At 40.3% G+C, this 18,686-nt stretch overlaps 1 protein-coding gene across 1 annotated transcript in view; it reads right to left on the bottom strand.

Moving 5' to 3' along the window:
- Positions 1 to 2,425: 2,425 nt before the first annotated feature.
- Positions 2,426 to 18,686, bottom strand: part of CLIC4 (chloride intracellular channel 4) — a 98,875-nt gene continuing 82,614 nt past the window's right edge. The window contains exons 5-6 of the mRNA NM_013943.3: positions 6,706 to 6,887; positions 2,426 to 5,974 (exon numbers count right to left, since the gene is read on the bottom strand). Of these exons, the coding sequence (NP_039234.1) occupies positions 5,810 to 5,974; positions 6,706 to 6,887 (347 nt within the window). The 3' untranslated portion in view covers positions 2,426 to 5,809. The remainder of the gene's footprint in view (positions 5,975 to 6,705; positions 6,888 to 18,686) is intronic.

Below are 18,686 nucleotides of genomic sequence, written 5' to 3'. Positions count from 1 at the left end.
CGGCATAGGGTCTGTTTCACTAAAAGTTCCACATATACCTGAAAAGAATGTACATTCTGCAGTTGTTGGATATAGCATGCCATATGCATCCATTAGGTCAAGTGGTTGTGTTATTCTCTCTTCTGCTATTCCTATGTGTGTACGTATGTGCACACGCACGTGTTTTCCTCCTTGTTCTATCAGTTACTGAGAGCTATGTTAAGAATCTCCAATTATGAGGATGAATTTGACCTCATAATTGCAGACATTTCTCTTTGAGTCAATTTTTATTTAAAGGTGTTATTAGATACACAGAAATGCAGGACTGTTAACATTTTCATAGTGAATGTTCATGATTATCAATGTCCTATATTGTAAAACATCCTTTTTCATCTCCAGTAACACTTCTTGCCTCAAAACCTACTTTGTATGATAGGCACATCTTCTTTCTTTTTATTTACTGTGTCAATGAATTAACTATTCCATTCTTTAATTTCACCCTTCTGGGCCCATATATTTGTCTCTTGTAAATAGCATATATTGGGTTTTGATTTTTTATCCAGTTTGACACTTAACATTGTTCAGCCCATTTACATTTCATAAATTTACTAACAGTGTTGGATTTACAGTTAACCTTTTGCTATTTTTCCAATTTGTCCTATGTTTTGTTCATTTGATCCCCTTGTCCTTTCTTTTGAATTGAATTTTTTTCAACTTCCATTTCCTCCTTAAGTCTTAGATTTTTAAGTTATTTATTCTTGTAGTTCTTTTAGTAGTTACCCTAGAAATTGTGATATTTATCCATGATTTATTATCATTTTCTTAAATTGGTACTTTCATCACTTCCCAAATAACCTAAGAATCTTGCAAGTACTTAACTCCACTTACCTTCCTTCTATCACTATTGTTATATATTTTTTGTATTTTTAGTAGAGTCAGGGTTTCATCATGTTTACCAGGCTGCTCTCAAACTCCTGACCTCAGGTGATTCCACCTGCCTTGGCCTCCCAAAGTGCTGGGATTTGAGCCACCGCACCTGGCCTATTTTGGTGTTTTAATAGTTTTTTATGGTTGTTGCAGCAGTAGTATTGTGTTGCTGTGACCTATATCCTACCCATCGATTACTGTAAGTTTTTATTAAGTCTTGGTATCTTGTCAAACAAGTTCTCTTTCCCCATCTTCAAATATATGTTGGCTATTTGGGGGCATAACTCTTCCACATGAATTTTTGAATCCATTTATCTAGTTTCCAAAAACACCTGTTAGGATCTTGTTGGCAAATATATTTATAAGTAGTCAGAATTTAAATTTTCATGCTTTTGAGCTCTCCATCCATAAATATGGTATGCCTATCCATTGAACAAATTTCTATCAGGCCTTTCAATAATGTCTTGTACTTTTCTCCATAAAGAATTGCACTTAAAAAAAAAAAAGATACAGGGTCTTGCTCTGTCACCCAGGCTGGAGTACAGTGGCACAACCATAGTTCACTATAGCCTCAAACTCCTGGGCTCAAGAGATCCTCCTTCCCCAGCCTCCCGAGTAGCTAGGACTACAGACTCATGCTACCACACTTGGCTTTTTTTTTTGTTTGTTTTTTGTTTTTTTTTTTCCTGTAGAGACAGGGTCTTGCTGTATTGCCCAGACTGGTTTTGAACTCCTGGCCTCATGTAATCCTCCCACCTTGGCCTCCCTAAGTGCTGGGATTACAGGTATGAGCCACCATGCTTGGCTAGGAATTGCACATTGTTTGATTTGATCCTCAATCACTTAGGATCTTTATTCGTTTTTTAAAGCACTTTTTGTTTATTAGAATAGGTAATATATTTACCAATTTCTAAAAACTTAAAAGTATACATTGATAATTTCCCACCCCTTTACCTCAGGCACCCAATTCTCCTCCAGAAAAAAACCAATGTTACCAATTTCTCTATTGGCTTTCAATGTGCTTACTATTTGTATATAGTAGTTATATTAAATTTTGTTCCTCGATCTTGCAACTAGAAATCCAGCTGAATTATTTTTAGTATTTGTAAGTTATTTTGGATTTTATACACATACACACCATCAACATCATTACCTGCAAAGGGCAGTCATTTTGTTGCTTCTTTTCCATTCTTTATTCCTTTCACTGATGTTACTGCATTGGCTAGGATATCTCTAAATAAAGTAGCTGTTAAAGTAGCTGGATAGTAGCTGTGATAGAGGGCAACCTTGTCTTATTCTTGACTTTAACGAGATCGCTTCTGTTTCATTTGCTATAGGTTCTCAATAAAAGTCTTTATCAGGTTAAAAAAAAAGTTACCTATTTTGCTAAGAATGAGTAGCATGAATATTTTAATCAAGTTATTTTCTGTACCTATTGAAATGATCCTATGGTTTTTCTCCTTTAACCTATTAAATGTGCTGAATCACTCATAGAAAAAAAAATAGTAGTCTCAAACACTTTTACCCCAAGTTGTTGTTTATTTTCATGAGGGGGGAAAAAAGAATCCTTTATGATAGTGAAAATATACTTTATTTTTTAATACAATAGCTGCCAGCAATATACTGGTGCTGATGTTCCAAAGATAAAAGAAAATACATGCATTCTATAATAAGCTTTCATTTGCCTGTTCAAGAAATTATAAAGAAAATACTCCAATTCTGTTCAACATTACGGCTTGAGGAGTTGAAATTTTTCCATGATAAAAATATACTTTGTGTGGCCCAAACCTTGACTATTTATAAAGGATGGAGTTTTTAAAAGCCCACATGTATCAATAATGGATGCTCCCCTCTCTTTGAATTAAATGCTTAAATTCAAATTAATGCAAGAAATTGGTGAATCATTAAATGATGAAATTTGTATCAAAATGTTCATGAAAAAATACATTTCTATTTCCTCTACATTTTTACTTTGTAGTTATTTTCTAAATGGGTTTAAGGGCACAGAAATAAATGCTATCTACATGCAACTCTGGAGAGATTCAAAACACAACAGAAGTTAACATGCCTAAATCCTAGAGTTGATCCATTTAGTGTAAGAATAAATGTCAGAAATCTCTTAATTGTATACAGATTGCTCAAGGATTTAAAGATAAATTGTGAAAGCCAAAATTACCAAGAAATAAAATCTTATTTGAATTTTATCACAAAAGTTTACAGTCCTAGTAAAAGACAACAGAACTGTATAGAATATCTGCATCTACATCAAAAAAGGGAAGTTTTATCAACTAGAATAGAGAGCTTTCCAACTGCTGAATACAAAAATTTCTCAGAATCTCTTGGAAAACAGATCCATTCAGACTCCAATCTCCTCACTGAAGTAAAACACAAAAGGTGTTTAAATGAAGGGGAATGGATGTTAGTTGTAAAAATAAAATCAGATTATTTCCATTATGGCAATTCATATACTGCATGAACTGTCTACCATGAAAACTTTATGTCCCAAATTTCTCAAGATGTTAAACTATGCTCTTTCCACAAACATACAATGGGGTTAAAGCATGTTGCTGGGTCGTCCTTTTTACTAGCTAGCTTTTGTCCATTTACCAATTTCCATTTCATTTGACTAACTTCCCTGATAAAGTGGTATCTGTGTTTCTACAGAGAAAAATAATTCTGTCTTCATCAAAATCACAATAGACATGCCTTCCTAGAACATTTAGAGGGATGGCCAGGTGTAATCACTGGTTTAATAAAAACAGGAGAATATCCAAAATGAAAATATTTGAGTTTCAAAATGAATTTTCATCACTGTATTCTGAAGAATGTAGTTCTTTCCTCTTGTTAGCCCTCCACCTCGCACCACTCAGTCCACCATTCACTGGAAAGAACAAACCTCACTGCTCTTGAATCTTTTTTATACTTTAAGCTATGAGGCAAGGTTCAGAATCACCAGAATGAATCCCAAGTTGCCACTATTTAAAAAGTAGGTGAAGAATGATAATGCCTGCCTGTGTACTGGTGCAGATGGGACATTTTCACCCACTAAAACCACTGCAAAATAATTTCTCAATAGATAACTGAATAGTGCATCTTCCTTGAACCAGATAAATCATACAATATTTAATTACCAAAAAAAAACCAAGCGGGTACTCAAACTTTTGATAAGCAATAAAGAGTTCTAAGAAAGGTAAGGCAAAGAATCTTCCTGAGCCAAATGGATACAACATGGAGATTTTCTTATCTTTCATACTAAGCTAATTAATGATAGGCTCAAAAAATGCAGTATACTTATAAAAAGCCGCTTTCATAAAGCCAGTGCTTACTAAATGTTAGCATATCAAAGTGGGAGAAACACTGCCATTTTAAAGCAATAAACTTAAAATTTCAAGAAACAGCCTATGAGAAATAGCACTTCCTATACAAATTAGGTATAAAAAAATTACCAAAAATGTATTATAGTCACAATCACAGTCTTTGGAGTAGTACGTAGAAAGTCTGGTTTTGCTTTTGTCTTTTAAAAAAGAGTAAATACATAGCAAAGTTTTATTTTCAGCAAGTTCATCCTCCTGTTAGAACACAAATAATTCCTGGTTTAGGGCTTCAATTAAAAAAAACCCCGAAAAACAAAACAAAAACATGCAGAGTGCTATTCCTCAACATGGCTGTTGGAAAATTTAACTCCAGGAAGTGCAATGAGTGAGATCAGGCAAAACTACAGTAAATACACACTCACCATAACTATAACTTAGTCCCAAAGGAATGAACAATCCTCTATACAAGGTAAATGGGGTGAAATGAGAAAATTGGTGACCTGTGTTTTATCTTTCTTTTATATAGGATGGATAACGCATTCTTTAGGTCATCTACATTAAATGTACTTTAGAAACAAAAATTTACTTGATATTTTGACAAACCCACCCTTCATTCCTTAGGTTAATTTCTGTGTTAATTTTTACATTACTAATCATTGTACTGCTATAGCTAAGTCAACTAAAAATCAGTTATGTAGTGTTGCTCAACAGATGTACAAATAGCAAGCTCTATGATTACGTAAAAACAAGCTTTTTAAAATAAAGAATGCAATAAAGTTCCAAATGAATGGCACAGGGCAAAACACATATAACAAACGTATTTAGACAGAGTATCAGGTGCCCATCAGTTTCTCTTCTAAAGATAAAATGCTTGAGGAAGGTCTTGAGAAAACCCTCACTCCCTCTAAACTTTTAGCTTCTACATGGTGTCAGATGTTACAATTGGTATGAAGGATAAATGCTTTTAGGCAAAAGTAAAAATCTATCTACAAAGCAATATAGCAAAATCTGTAGTGACTTTTGTAGAAAGCTCTCTTCTCTGGTGGTAATATTCGTTAGTACATATCCAGGATAGACTAAATTGAAACAATATTTCTGATACAGTAGCAATCCTTTCATATACTCTTACTAAATATTACAAAATTCCAAAAAATACATAAATATTTCTTGTACCATGCATTATGCACCAGTTTGGGGCTGCCTGATAAAGTCGTGGCTACTATTTTTAACAATTAAACATTGCACCTCAAAAGTTCTGCCATCTATACACAGTGAATGGACACAATGGTGAGGGCTCCTGAGAGATGGCAAGCTACCTCTAAAGTGAAAAGTTTGTGGTGGAGTGTCTCCAAATTAAAGAGAGGGGAACCCGGGTAGGGGAGGTAGCCAGGGTAAAGGATTTTAAAATAATACTGCTTAGGAGTGTATATTTTAAGATAACTACTATACCTTGTCTATCCTTGATCCTAATCTTCAATAACTGCATGTTCGTGCAAAATACAATTTCTGCTCTACAGGAAGGAGTAGCCTGTTAGGAAAAGCGTATTCTTAGGGGAAGACATGAAGACATCTCTTTTACAAACGCGATTTTACTTGGTGAGTCTTTTGGCTACATCACTATATGCTATTTCAACCTCCTTATCACTGGGACAGGTATTGGTGAACTCGTCCCTACTGTATGCATTAGTTAGGTATCTCCAGATGCCAGTCATTTCTTTTGGAATATCAAAGTTGCGATATTTTTTGGCCACCACCTGAAATACAAAGAGATCAAAAGTTAACAGACTTATTTCCACGTCTTGTAAACTAGACATATCTCTGATTTTGGAGCAAATAATTAATGCTCTAAATCTTTGAGAACTGCTTCTATATGAAAAAAAGTCCATCACCATCATTCTAACCAGAGTTTTAAATAATGACCAAGACTGCAAGCTACACCAGGGATTTAGAAGTGTGACAGTGACTGCAAATAACTGCCTTGGACATCCAGAAAGACAGCCAAGTATAATCACTGGAAAATACTTCACAACACACATATGCTATTTTAGATCTGTTTTTGTTATCTTAGGTCTTTATTTACAACTAGCGCTTATTATTATTCTATTTAACAATGTGCCCAGCCCAGTGTCTCATATAATAAATGCTCAATACTTTTTGCCTTCAATAGAGAAAGCAAGGTGTGATCACAGAACAGAATTTGATAACATAAGTCAGTGTGGCAAACTCCAATTCAAAGTCACGCATTATATCTTTGAATTTGTATGCAGTCACAGAAAAAAAAATATTCATCTTTCTTATATTCCTCAATTTTAAGACATAATTTTCCATTTAACTAACTCTAGGGTGCTTCAACTATTGCCTAAACAGCATTGAGTTAAACAACTAGTCATATAAAATCAGAAATGTTTTGAGCACAAAGGAAATGCCACTTTAGTAAATACAATACAAGGTAATGGCAATGCGACATCAACCCCTACAGACCTACCTTGACAATATGCAGTTTGGGCAGCAGGTTGCAATCAGCTAATGTCATTTCATTGCCATCCAGAAATTTACGTGTAGAAAACTTTATGTCCTCCATACTATTTTCATCAATTTCATCAGGGAGAGGAGAATTCAGATATTCATCCAGTTTCTGCAGGGTTTTCAGGAGACCCCTCTCCAGTGCTTGGGGGGGAAAAAAAGAGATGAGAATACTGTAAGAAGGAAAACCACTCAAGTCCCCAAGGAGAAGCAGACTCTTTGAGTCAATAACTGTTTAAAAATGTTTACTCTGAAACAAGGTACTGTAGAACAAAACAGACAAGGCTCCTGCTCTCCTAGAGCTCAATTAGGTGGGGCAGGGGATGAAACAAGTTTGTTCAGGTAAAAGTATAAATAAGCATAATAATGTCAGGCAGTGGTATTTGTAAAAACTTGCTAACAAATGGCCGGGCGCGGTGGCTCACGCCTGTAATCCCAGCACTTTGGGAGGCCGAGGCAGGCAGATCACGAGGTCAGGAGATCGAGACCATCCTGGCTAACACGGTGAAACCTCGTCTCTACTAAAAATACAAAAAATTAGCCGGGCGTGGTGGCGGGCGCCTGTAGTCCCAGCTACTCGGGAGGCTGAGGCAGGAGAATGGCGTGAACCCGGGAGGCCGAGCTTGCAGTGAGCCGAGATAGCACCACTGCACTCCAGCCTGGGCGAAAGAGCGAGACTCTGTCTCAAAAAAAACTTGCTAACAACTAAATGTCCCACACATGAACACAAATGGTCCAACACATTTGACATTTAAACTGGAAAAATGGATGAGAAAAGGCAAGCATATTAATTCAAATCTAGGGATTAAAAAAATCTTAGAGGCAGATTTTTGCCCTCATTTTTAATTCCTGCTCCCCCAGGAATATTTTGATTTATCAGTAAGAAATGTGTTAAGAAATACCAATTCAAACAATCCAAACAGAAAACCTGAGATTTTCAAAACTGTCTTATAATTCACAGGAAGCCAAGAATAGCACTATCTTATACAAAAAACACAAAGGTCAGATTAAGGAGTTCAATTTACAATACTGAACTGGGAGCCTCTTTAACCAAATAGATTAAGATGCTCTGATTGTCATGATTCAGATTGTCATGATTCTGATTGTCATGATTCAGAAGAAAGGATAATAGAAGATCTGTCTGTTGTTATTCCATATTTTGATGGCATTCATTAAAGTGGGACAGAGCACCACTGTATATCTGGAAAGTCAAGGTTAGTGGCCCTCAGCAGAAAGGGGGTAGGAATGTCATTAAAAATATGGAATAACAACAGACAGATCTTCTATTATCCTTTCTTATCCTTTCCTTCCAAAGCCACCTTCCCCCTCACTCTCAGAATAGATGAACTTACACAGATGATTGTGGTAACTGGCCATAAAAGAAAGTTAAATATCATGAGGTGGCAAACCATGTAGTTTTAAGTCTGAATTCAGTTGTGTCCTTTAAGGAAAAAGGTAAAGGCCTGCATCTTAGATATTTTACCAGCAATGTACATATGTCCTAACCCCAAACCTCTTCTTCCAAATTGCAGCCACCCACTCAGCCCTTGGTCCCTTCATGGTAGTCCAGGTAATAGATGGTAGTCTTAGTTAGGTAAGGGGCTATAGGCATAAAAAGGAATGAACGGATTTTAGGAAATAAAAACTAACAGAGTTCAGAAACCAAAGTGAATATGGAGAAAGGGGGGAAGATGTATTCAACAAAATATAATTGAGCCCCTCCTACATGCCAAGTCTTATTCTAAGGATTGTTAAATTCACTGTTGAATAAAACCTAATACATTCCTATCCTCAGAGAGTTTAGATCTTGGGGACAGAGGGTAGTATAGAGAAGCTGGTCAACAAACTAAAGACTCCCAGGGTGAATGCTGGTGTCATTTACTGAGCCATTTACCTTCCCAAGGAGAAACCGATTTAGGGGCTACGGAGATGAGTTCATGCTGAGTTTGAGGTGCCTGTAAGACATGTGAGTAGAGATGTCCAATAGACAGACAAATATGGTTTCAAGTGTCACGCACTGAGCTGGAGCAACGTGTTTAGAAGTTATGAGAACATAAATGAACACCGAAACCATGGAGTAAAGGAGAAGCAGAGGGCCTAGAGAAAGCCCTAAGGAACATCATTTAAAGGATAGGTAGGAGGAATAGTCTGCGGAGAAGACCGGGTTTCACCATGTTAGCCAGGCTAATCTCGAACTCCTGACCTCAAGTGATCCGCCTGCCTGGTCCTCCCAAAGTGCTGGGATTGCAGGTGTGAGTCACTGCAACCGGCCAGATTTCTGAATTTTTAAACAATCTTCCATTCCTGAGAAACCCAACTTGGTTGTACTACCTTTTGTTATGTTGCTGGATTTGGTATATTTTATTTCAGACTTTTGCATCTATATTAAAGAAAGATTGGCTTGAAATTGTCCTTTCTTTTGATGTTCTTGTATGGTTCTGGTATCAAGGCTCCCTGCCCTCAAAAAGCAAGGTAGAAAGCATTCCCTCTTTTCTGTTCCCTGGAAAGGTATATGAAAGTATAACCTTACTTCTTCCTCAAATGCTTGGAAGAGTTCAACAGTGAAGCCATCTGGATCTGGAGTTTTCTTTTTAATTATAAGAAATTTAAATGATATAAGAATATTCACATTTTTAATTCCTCCTTGTGTCAATTTTGTTACACTGTACTTTCTGTAAATTTCTCCAATAGTTTCAAAATTATAAGCATAAATTTTTTCATAATATCCTCCAAAAATCATTTTAATGTAAGATCTGTAGCAATCCTCCTTTTTATTTCCAATATTGGTTTTTGCTGTCTTCTCTCACTTTTCTTGATTTTTCTTTTCAAGGATTTATCCATTTTTTTTATTTGTTAGACTTTGCAAAGAACCAGCTTTTAGCTTCCTTGTTCAATGTCATGTTTGTTTTCTACTTCCTTATATTCTGCTCTTTAGTATTTCTAAACTTTTACTTCACCAATATTTAGCTCTCTTCTTTTCTAATATAGGCTTTTGGAACTAAAAAATTCCCTCTAAGCACAGTTTTAGCCATATCTCACAAATGTAGACATTCTGTATTTTCATCACTTTATTCTTTTTCAATCTGTGGATTATTTAGAAATATACTAATTAATTTTCAAACATGTAGAAACTTTCTAGCTGTAGCTTTTGTTTTTTTCATTTTTGAGACAAGGTTTCACTCCTATCACCCAGGCTGGGGTGCAATGGCACGATCTCGGCTCACTGCAACCTCGAACTCCTGGGCTCATGCGATCCTCCCACCTCAGCCTCCTGAGTAGCTGGGACTATAGGCACATGCCACTGCACCTGTCAAATTTTTGTATTTTTTGTAGACAGAGGGTTTAGCTATGTTGCCAAAGTTGGTCTTGAACTACTGAGCTCAAGTGATCTGCCCACCTCAGCCTCCCTAAGTGCTGGGATTACAGGCATGAGCCACTGTGCCCCGTTCTAGCTGTACTTTTGTTATTGATATCTATCATATTTTCTTTGATTGAGAAACATTCCTCGTTTTCAATTTTTTTGGAAAAATTTTTAGCTTTGTTTTATGGCCCAGCTTTACCATCAATTTTGTTCCATGTGCATTTGAAAAACAAAAGTATATTCTGAAGTACAGTGAGATATGTATATACATATATGAGATTAAATTTGTTCACTGTATTGTTCAATTTTATCTTCTCATTTTTTTCCTTTTGCGGTTGATTCTAACAGTTACTAAGGGGGTAAGTTAAGATCCCCCACTATGACTGTGGATTGATCTGTCTCTTTTAGTTCTGTCAGTTTGGCTTATATTTTCAGGTTAGTTATTTGGTAAGATAAGTTTAGAATTATTTTATCTTCCTGATTAACCTTTTTAAATCAGTCTGGAACACGCTTCATTATCTCATAATGCTTCTTTCCTTAAAGTCTACTTCATCCAATGTCAGTGTGGCTTTGTCAACTTTCTTTAGGTTAGTATTTATACTATTTCATTTTTAGCTCTCCTGGATCCACATTTCATGTATGTATTTGTGTGTTTCATAGATAGACAGATAGATACAGTCTTGTACATAAGCAACATTGTTTTTAATCCAGTTGGTAAACTTTGTTTTTTCATTTGGAATATTTAAATAATGTATATTCAATGTCATTACTAAAAACTCTGGTTCAAATCTGCTATATACTTCTTATTTGTCCACCTGTTCTGTGTTCTTTTCTTCTCTCCTACCTTCCTATGGATTACATTTTTAAAAATTATTCCTCTATTTCCACCTCTATTAGCTTAATATACATCCTTTTCTAGTCTTTGTTTCCTTGACTCATTAAAGTTTAATTATAACTGTTGCCACTTCCAGGATAATGCAAAGACCTTAGAACCCCATTAACCTCCTTTCTGTCCTATATGCTATTATTGTTATGTATTTAATTCTACATTTTTAAAATTTATTTATTTATTTATTTATAGACAGATTCTCACACTCTGTCGCCCAGGCTGGAGTGCAGTGGTGCAATCTCAGCTCGCTGCAACCTCCGCCTCCCAGTTTCAAGTGACTCTCCTGCCTCAGCCTCCCGAGTAGCTGGGATTATAGGCGTGAGCAACCACGCCTGGCTGATTTTTGTATTTTTAGTAGAGATGGGGTTATGCCATGTTGGTCAGGCTGGTCTCGAACTCCTGGCTTCAAGCGATCCACCTGCCTTGGCCTCCCCAAGTGCTGGGATTACAGGCGTGAGCCACCGCACCTGACCCGGTAATATTTTTTACTTAGGAAAATATCAAACAAATTAGAATGTGTTACCTACCTAAGTGATAAGTGGCAAGGTCAAAGATCTACCCATTTTATTATTAAAGGATCATGCTAGCCATAGCCAATGATCAAGTTAGCTTATTTCTTAGATGAAACATAACCAGCAGAGGGCACTGGAACCCAGTAAAATAAAGTTGAGACATTAGCAGAGCTCAACTACAGAAGTGACAAGAGAAACAAGCCACTTAAAAATAAAAAATCAATATAAAACGTTACTGCTCGCCCTCTCCCGTCTCCCTCTCCCTCTCCCGTCTCCCTCTCCCGTCTCCCTCTCCCTCTCCCGTCTCCCTCTCCCTCTCCCTCTCCCGTCTCCCTCTCCCGTCTCCCTCTCCCTCTCCCGTCTCCCTCTCCCGTCTCCCTCTCCCTCTCCCGTCTCCCTCTCCCTCTCCCGTCTCCCTCTCCCTCTCCCGTCTCCCTCTCCCTCTCATGCCGAGCCAAAGCTGGACGGTACTGCTGCCATCTCGGCTCACTGCAACCTCCCTGCCTGATTCTCCTGCCTCAGCCTGCCGAGTGCCTGCGATTGCAGGCGCGCGCCGCCACGCCTGACTGGTTTTCGTTTTTTTTTGGTGGAGATGGGGTTTCGCTGTGTTGGCCGGGCTGGTCTCCAGCTCCTAACCGCGAGTGATCCGCCAGCCTCGGCCTCCCGAGGTGCCGGGATTGCAGATGGAGTCTCGTTCACTCAGTGCTCAATGGTGCCCAGGCTGGAGTGCAGTGGCGTGATCTCGGCTCGCTACAACCACCTCCCAGCCGCCTGCCTTGGCCTCCCAAAGAGCCGAGATTGCAGCCTCTGCCCGGCCGCCACCCCGTCTGGGAAGTGAGGAGCGTCTCTGCTTGGCCACCCATCGTCTGGGATGTGAGGAGCCCCTCTGCCTGGCTGCCCAGTGTGGAAAGTGAGGAGCGTCTCTGCCCGGCCGCCATCCCATCTAGGAAGCGAGAAGCGCCTCTTCCCCGCCGCCATCCCATCTAGGAAGTGAGGAGCGTCTCTGCCCGGCCGCCCATCGTCTGAGATGTGGGGAGCACCTCTGCCCCACCGCCCTGTCTGGGATGTGAGGAGCGCCTCTGCTGGGCCGCAACCCTGTCTGGGAGGTGAGGAGTGTCTCTGCCCGGCCGCTCCGTCTGAGAAGTGAGGAAACCCTCTGCCTGGCAACCGCCCCGTCTGAGAAGTGAGGAGCCCCTCCGTCTGGCAACCACCCCGTCTGGGAAGTGAGGAGCGTCTCCGCCCGGCAGCCACCCCGTCCGGGAGGGAGGTGGGGGGGGTCAGCCCCCTGCCCGGCCAGCCGCCCCGTCCGGGAGGTGAGGGGCTCCTCTGCCCGGCCGCCCCTACTGGGAAGTGAGGAGCCCCTCTGCCCGGCCAGCCGCCCCGTCCGGGAGGGAGGCGGGGGGGGGGGGGGGGGGTCGGCCAGCCGCCCCGGCCGGGAGGTGAGGGGCTCCTCTGCCCGGCCGCCCCTACTGGGAAGTGAGGAGCCCCTCTGCCCGGCCAGTCGCCCCGTCCAGGAGGGAGGTGGGGGGGTCAACCCCCCGCCCGGCCAGCCGCCCAGTCCGGGAGGGAGGTGGGGGGTCAGCCCCCCGCCTGGCCAGCCGCCCCGTCCGGGAGGTGAGGGGCGCCTCTGCCCGGCCGCCCCTACTGGGAAGTGAGGAGCCCCTCTGCCCGGCCAGCCGCCCCGCCCAGGAGGGAGGTGGGGGGGTCAGCCCCCCGCCTGGCCAGCCGCCCCATCCGGGAGGGAGGTGGGGGGGTCAGCCCCCCGCCCGGCCAGCCGCCCCGTCCGGGAGGGGGGAGGGGGGGTCAGCCCCCTGCCCGGCCAGCCGCCCCGTCCGGGAGGGAGGTGGGGGGGTCAGCCCCCTGCCCGGCCAGCCGCCCCGTCCGGGAGGGAGGTGGGGGGATCAGCCCCCTGCCTGGCCAGCCGCCCCGTCCGGGAGGTGAGGGGCGCCTCTGCCCGGCCGCCCCTACTGGGAAGTGAGGACCCCTCTGCCCAGCCAGCCGCCCCGTCCGGGAGGGAGGTGGGGGGGGTCAGCCCCCCGCCCGGCCAGCCGCCCCGTCCGGGAGGGAGGTGGGGGGATCAGCCCCCTGCCTGGCCAGCCGCCCCGTCCGGGAGGTGAGGGGCGCCTCTGCCCGGCCGCCCCTACTGGGAAGTGAGGACCCCTCTGCCCGGCCAGCCGCCCCGTCCGGGAGGGAGGTGGGGGGAACAGCCCCCCGCCCGGCCAGCCGCCCTATCCAGGAGGTGAGGGGCGCCTCTGCCCGGCCGCCCCTACTGGGAAGTGAGGAGCCCCTCTGCCTGGCCAGCCGCCCCGTCCGGGAGGGCGGTGGGGGGGTCAGCCCCCCGCCCGGCCAGCCGCCCCATCTGGGAGGTGAGGGGCACTTCTGCCGGGCCGCCCCTACTGGGAAGTGAGGAGCCCCTCTGCCCGGCCACGACCCCGTCTGGGAGGTGTGCCCAGCGGCTCATTGGGGATGGGCCATGATGACAATGGCGGTTTTGTGGAATAGAAAGGCGGGAAGGGTGGGGAAAAAATTGAGAAATCGGATGGTTGCTGGGTCTGTGTGGATAGAAGTAGACATGGGAGACTTTTCATTTTGTTCTGTACTAAGAAAAATTCTTCTGCCTTGGGATCCTGTTGATCTGTGACCTTATCCCCAACCCTGTGCTCTCTGAGACATGTGCTGTGTCCACTCAGGGTTAAATGGATTAAGGGCGGTGCAAGATGTGCTTTGTTAAACAGATGCTTGAAGGCAGCATGCTCGTTAAGAGTCATCACCACTCCCTAATCTTAAGTACCCAGGGACACAAACACTGCGGAAGGCAGCAGGGTCCTCTGCCTAGGAAAACCAGAGACCTTTGTTCACTTGTTTATCTGCTGACCTTCCCTCCACTATTGTCCTATGACCCTGCCAAATCCCCCTCTGCGAGAAACACCCAAGAATGATCAATAAAAATAAAAAATAAAAAAAATAAAAAATAAAAAAATAAAAAATAAAACGTTACTGCTCAAAAGAAAAAAAAAATAAAAAATAAAAAAAATAAAAAATCAAAAACATAAAATAATAAACATAAATTTTTATTAATTATATTCAGGCCAGCAATAATGCATATAGTTAGCTGAAATGTAAAGTTTATAAATTAACAGGAGAATACAATGTGAGAAACAGCTAGGTCAGTAAGAATTCCAGGAAACGATGAAACACTTTCTATGGGTATATTTAAGAGGAAAAAAGAGAAAAGGAGAGAGCAGAATCTCAAGGTTGTAAAACAAGAGTTAATATGCTTCTTATTAAAGGCAGTGAATGCATGGCCGGGCATGGTGCTTCACACCTGTCATCTCAGTACTTTGGCAAGCCAAGGCAGGTAGATCACCTGAGGTCAGCAGTTCAAGACCAGCCTGGCCAACATGATGAGACCTCGTATCTACTAAAAATACAAAACTTAGCCAGGCATGGTGGTGCACGCCTGTAGTCCCAGCTACGCAGGAGGCTGAGGTAGGAGAATCACTTGAACCCGGGAGGTGGAGGTTGCAGTGAGCCGAGATCGTGCCACTGCACTCCAGCCTGGGTGACAGAGCAAGACTCTTAAACAAAACAAACAAAAAACCAAAAAAATAAAAGTAGTGAATGCAGAACAAGAACATATTAGAGTACAAGGACTTGTTCTTTGATCAGATTACAATGAATGGAATCAGTCTGTGGGGAAGATAATGTTGCCTGAATTCAAACATTGAATTATTGTCTCAAATGCTATTTGAGTGTTTTGACAAGTTTTTGAGCAAATGTTTAACCTTAGACCTGCTCTAAATTAATGTTTTTCCTGAATTATATATATAAAAATCAAATATCCTAAATTTACAAGGTTTATAACATAGTATTCGTCAGTGCAAGACACAGTGGTTCACGCCTGTAATCTCAGCACTTTGGGAGGCCAAGCTGGGTGGATTGCTTGAGTCCAGGAGGTCAAGACCAGCCTGGGCAATGTGGTGAGACCTTGTCTCATTTAAATAAATTTTTTTCAAAAGAAAATTAAGAGTCTAGCATAACATTACAATGACTGTTTTCTCTATAATTTTGTACTTAGCAAAGCACTTCTGATGAAGTCGAATTGCTATACCTGACTACGGTGTTAGTAATTTTTCATAGTTAAGAATGTCATAACAAGGGTATATTAATGAAAACAAAGAATGATGAATTAGTTTGATACAATTATATGTATCAACATAAGGTATGGCCAATAAAACAAACACAAACAGAAATATCAAAAAGTACTAAACAGCATCATTCAATAAACACAATACAGTTTTCAAGACCAATCATCACAAAGGAGTATGTAAATATAAAGAAAATGTCAAAATTAACCACTAGAAGGCAGTAGCAAGCCATCACAAAGTAGCTCCCTGTCTTATAGCTAATAAGTAGCACTATTATTCTCCAATACCCCGATGTAGTAATGCTGGTATCCCTAAGAAGCTATTTCATAAAGCTCTCAAAAAATTTTTAAGTGCAACAGAGCAACAAAATCAGTTTAAAAGTAATTATGAAAGTCAAAACACCCTTTCTTGTCTAAGAGAACACAGCAAAATTACAAAGATTAACACACACCAGGGTCCTAAGTGTAGGGTAATGAATACTTTCATGTTTGTGGGAATATAAACTGGTATAGACTTTTGGAGAACAATTTAGCAAAATAGAGCAAAATTTAAAATGCACAAACTTTTTGAACTATTTGGAATCTAGCTCAAGGACATTCACCAGCAGCATTGTTTATTATAGTGAAGAAAAAAAAAAAACTTGAGACAATCTAGATGTCTATCAACATGGAAATGGTTAAATGAAAATCCATATTATAAAATACAAAGCAGAATTTCTAAAAATTGAGGTAGATCTATATTTTGATATAGAAGCATTTCTACCATATAAGTGAAAAGTATAACTGCATAATGTATGCACATAATACGTACTTACAGAAATGTTTGCAAAATTACATAGAAAAAAGAACACTAAATTGTTGAAGAGGTCATGTAATGTGATTAAAGAGGGGCAATTAAGTTTTATTAAATTTATTTCTATACTATTTTAACTTTTTCAACAATCATGTATTCTCTGTTATTTGTATGATTTGAATGAGTAAAATTCAAGGCAGAAAACATTAAATGTAATAAGAGCACTTCGGTTATTGAAAAACAAGATAATTTACAATGACTAAAACAAAGACTAAAAATTGTAAGCACTGACATGGATAAAACCATATTTTCAAGCTACCTACCGCAGTCTTAATAAAGGGTAACCTTATACAAACAAGTTTTAAGGCTAAGTTACACATCAGTGGAAAATAGAAAGAGGTAATGGGTATTTAAAGATAATTCAATATACAATGCAGGCTTACTGCTACAATAATGCACAACCATCCTCTGACTTCCAACACTTTTCCAGAGAGAAAGGCAGGAGTAGTGGGGAGAGGAGAAAGGAGAGGATCCTGAATAAAAAGGAACTAATCAGAACCTCTAGATTCCTTGCCTCCATCTAAATATAGGAATTTGGACATCATGAAATATGCCTCAGAGTACATTCAACAATGCTAAGTTCACATCTCTTTTATGAGTATTATAAATATCAATGACTGAGTATTATAAATATCAATGACTAGTCACAGTTGGGACCTTAGCAAATTACATAAATTAATGCCATCACAGAACTTAAAAAAAGTAGGAGATCTGGGGACAGGTCATACTTAATACATCCCCACAAAAGAAATTACCCATGAGCTTCTCTTTGACTGCCTAAATGGTTACATAAACTTTTACTCCCAATCAACTTGAACGTGTTATCAAAAGAATTATATATGTGTTATCTATCTATCATCAGTGTCTCTCCCTTTATTCTTCACATTTTACTTGTTTACTTTGTACCCCAACCTAACCACTAGCCCTTCTATTTCAGTTTCATTAGCCCAAAACTGTAGCATTCAGGCATTGAATCCCTTACTTAGAATTAAGTCCTAAAAGGTCTTAAAATTGTCCAAACATATTGGATTTTGAAAATATTTAATAGGTGGTAAAACTAATCAGACTTGTCTACTCTGATTTACCATGTAAAACGACAAATTCATCTCTGTGTAAATTGTCAGCATCTGGGTGGGGGTTGGGGGAAATAAAAAGGAGAATCACTAATTTCCTAGGACTACTAAAGGCATTTGATTGCACTAAATGGATCTGAGGCCTGCGGCAAACATACATAAGGAGGGCCCATTAAGCTCCAAAGTGATTTGAAATATTGTTTTCTAAAGTGTCATGGCCTCAACAGGTCCCTGTGGAGAGAAGTTGCTTGGCAACTGGAACTTTTATTTACCAGCAGGTAATTTAATATAAAGCCTTCTAGATTATGTACCATGTATTATATTATGTTGTTTGTTCTTATTGGTTACAGCATTCTGAGGACAGGAAGAGTAGGTGGCTACTTAAGATAATAACAAATTGATAGGGAAAAAATAGAATACAAAGTTATACTTAAATGAGTCACTTTCTAACCTTTTTATTCCCGCCCCACCCCCACCCCGCCCCATCCTCATCCCTCAAAGGGGAAGCAAACACATTTTATTCCTTTCTCCTCCCCACTAAGTGTCAGAAGAAATTTAACCACCCTCCAACTCCCAAAAAACCACATGGAAAAATAAAAACATAACTGTAACTAAGATTGTTCAAAGAAGTATGCAGCAGGGGCATCTAAGTATAAAAGGGTAGTTTTATGAAAAGAACAGTTAGCTCGCATGAAGCGCAGAACAGAAAAGACACTGTCTGTGGAAAGGAGGGGCTCCAACATAACCACTTGCTTAATGTATAAATTGCTTAGACAGAAACATTAGTCAGGAAAAAAAAAAGCCAATTACTAAAGAAAATTGCTTCCAAACCATGGCAGCTACTGGAATACATTATTAACAGATACAAGCCAGACCTGAGCACTAACATTTTTCCCTTTTTTCCCTTCACTGTAGAAAAACATTTCATGTAGTTAAGTATTATTCCAAAAATCAAGAGCAAAAGACATTGGAATCCAATACTAAATTTTAAAATTGCAGCATTTTATAATAATAGTACTGAAATAACATAAGGAAATTAGCAAGTATTTCACTTTTTAAAAAGATATTCATTCTTGTTTAACCAGCACTGATATTTTCCCCTTTGGTA

The sequence above is a fragment of the Homo sapiens genome, chromosome 1 (genome assembly GCF_000001405.40).
Source record: "Homo sapiens chromosome 1, GRCh38.p14 Primary Assembly".
In the NCBI taxonomy this organism is placed as follows: Eukaryota; Metazoa; Chordata; class Mammalia; order Primates; family Hominidae; genus Homo; species Homo sapiens.
The sequence above is the reverse complement of the archived record's forward strand: the minus strand, read 5'-3'. Positions and strand labels throughout refer to the sequence as shown.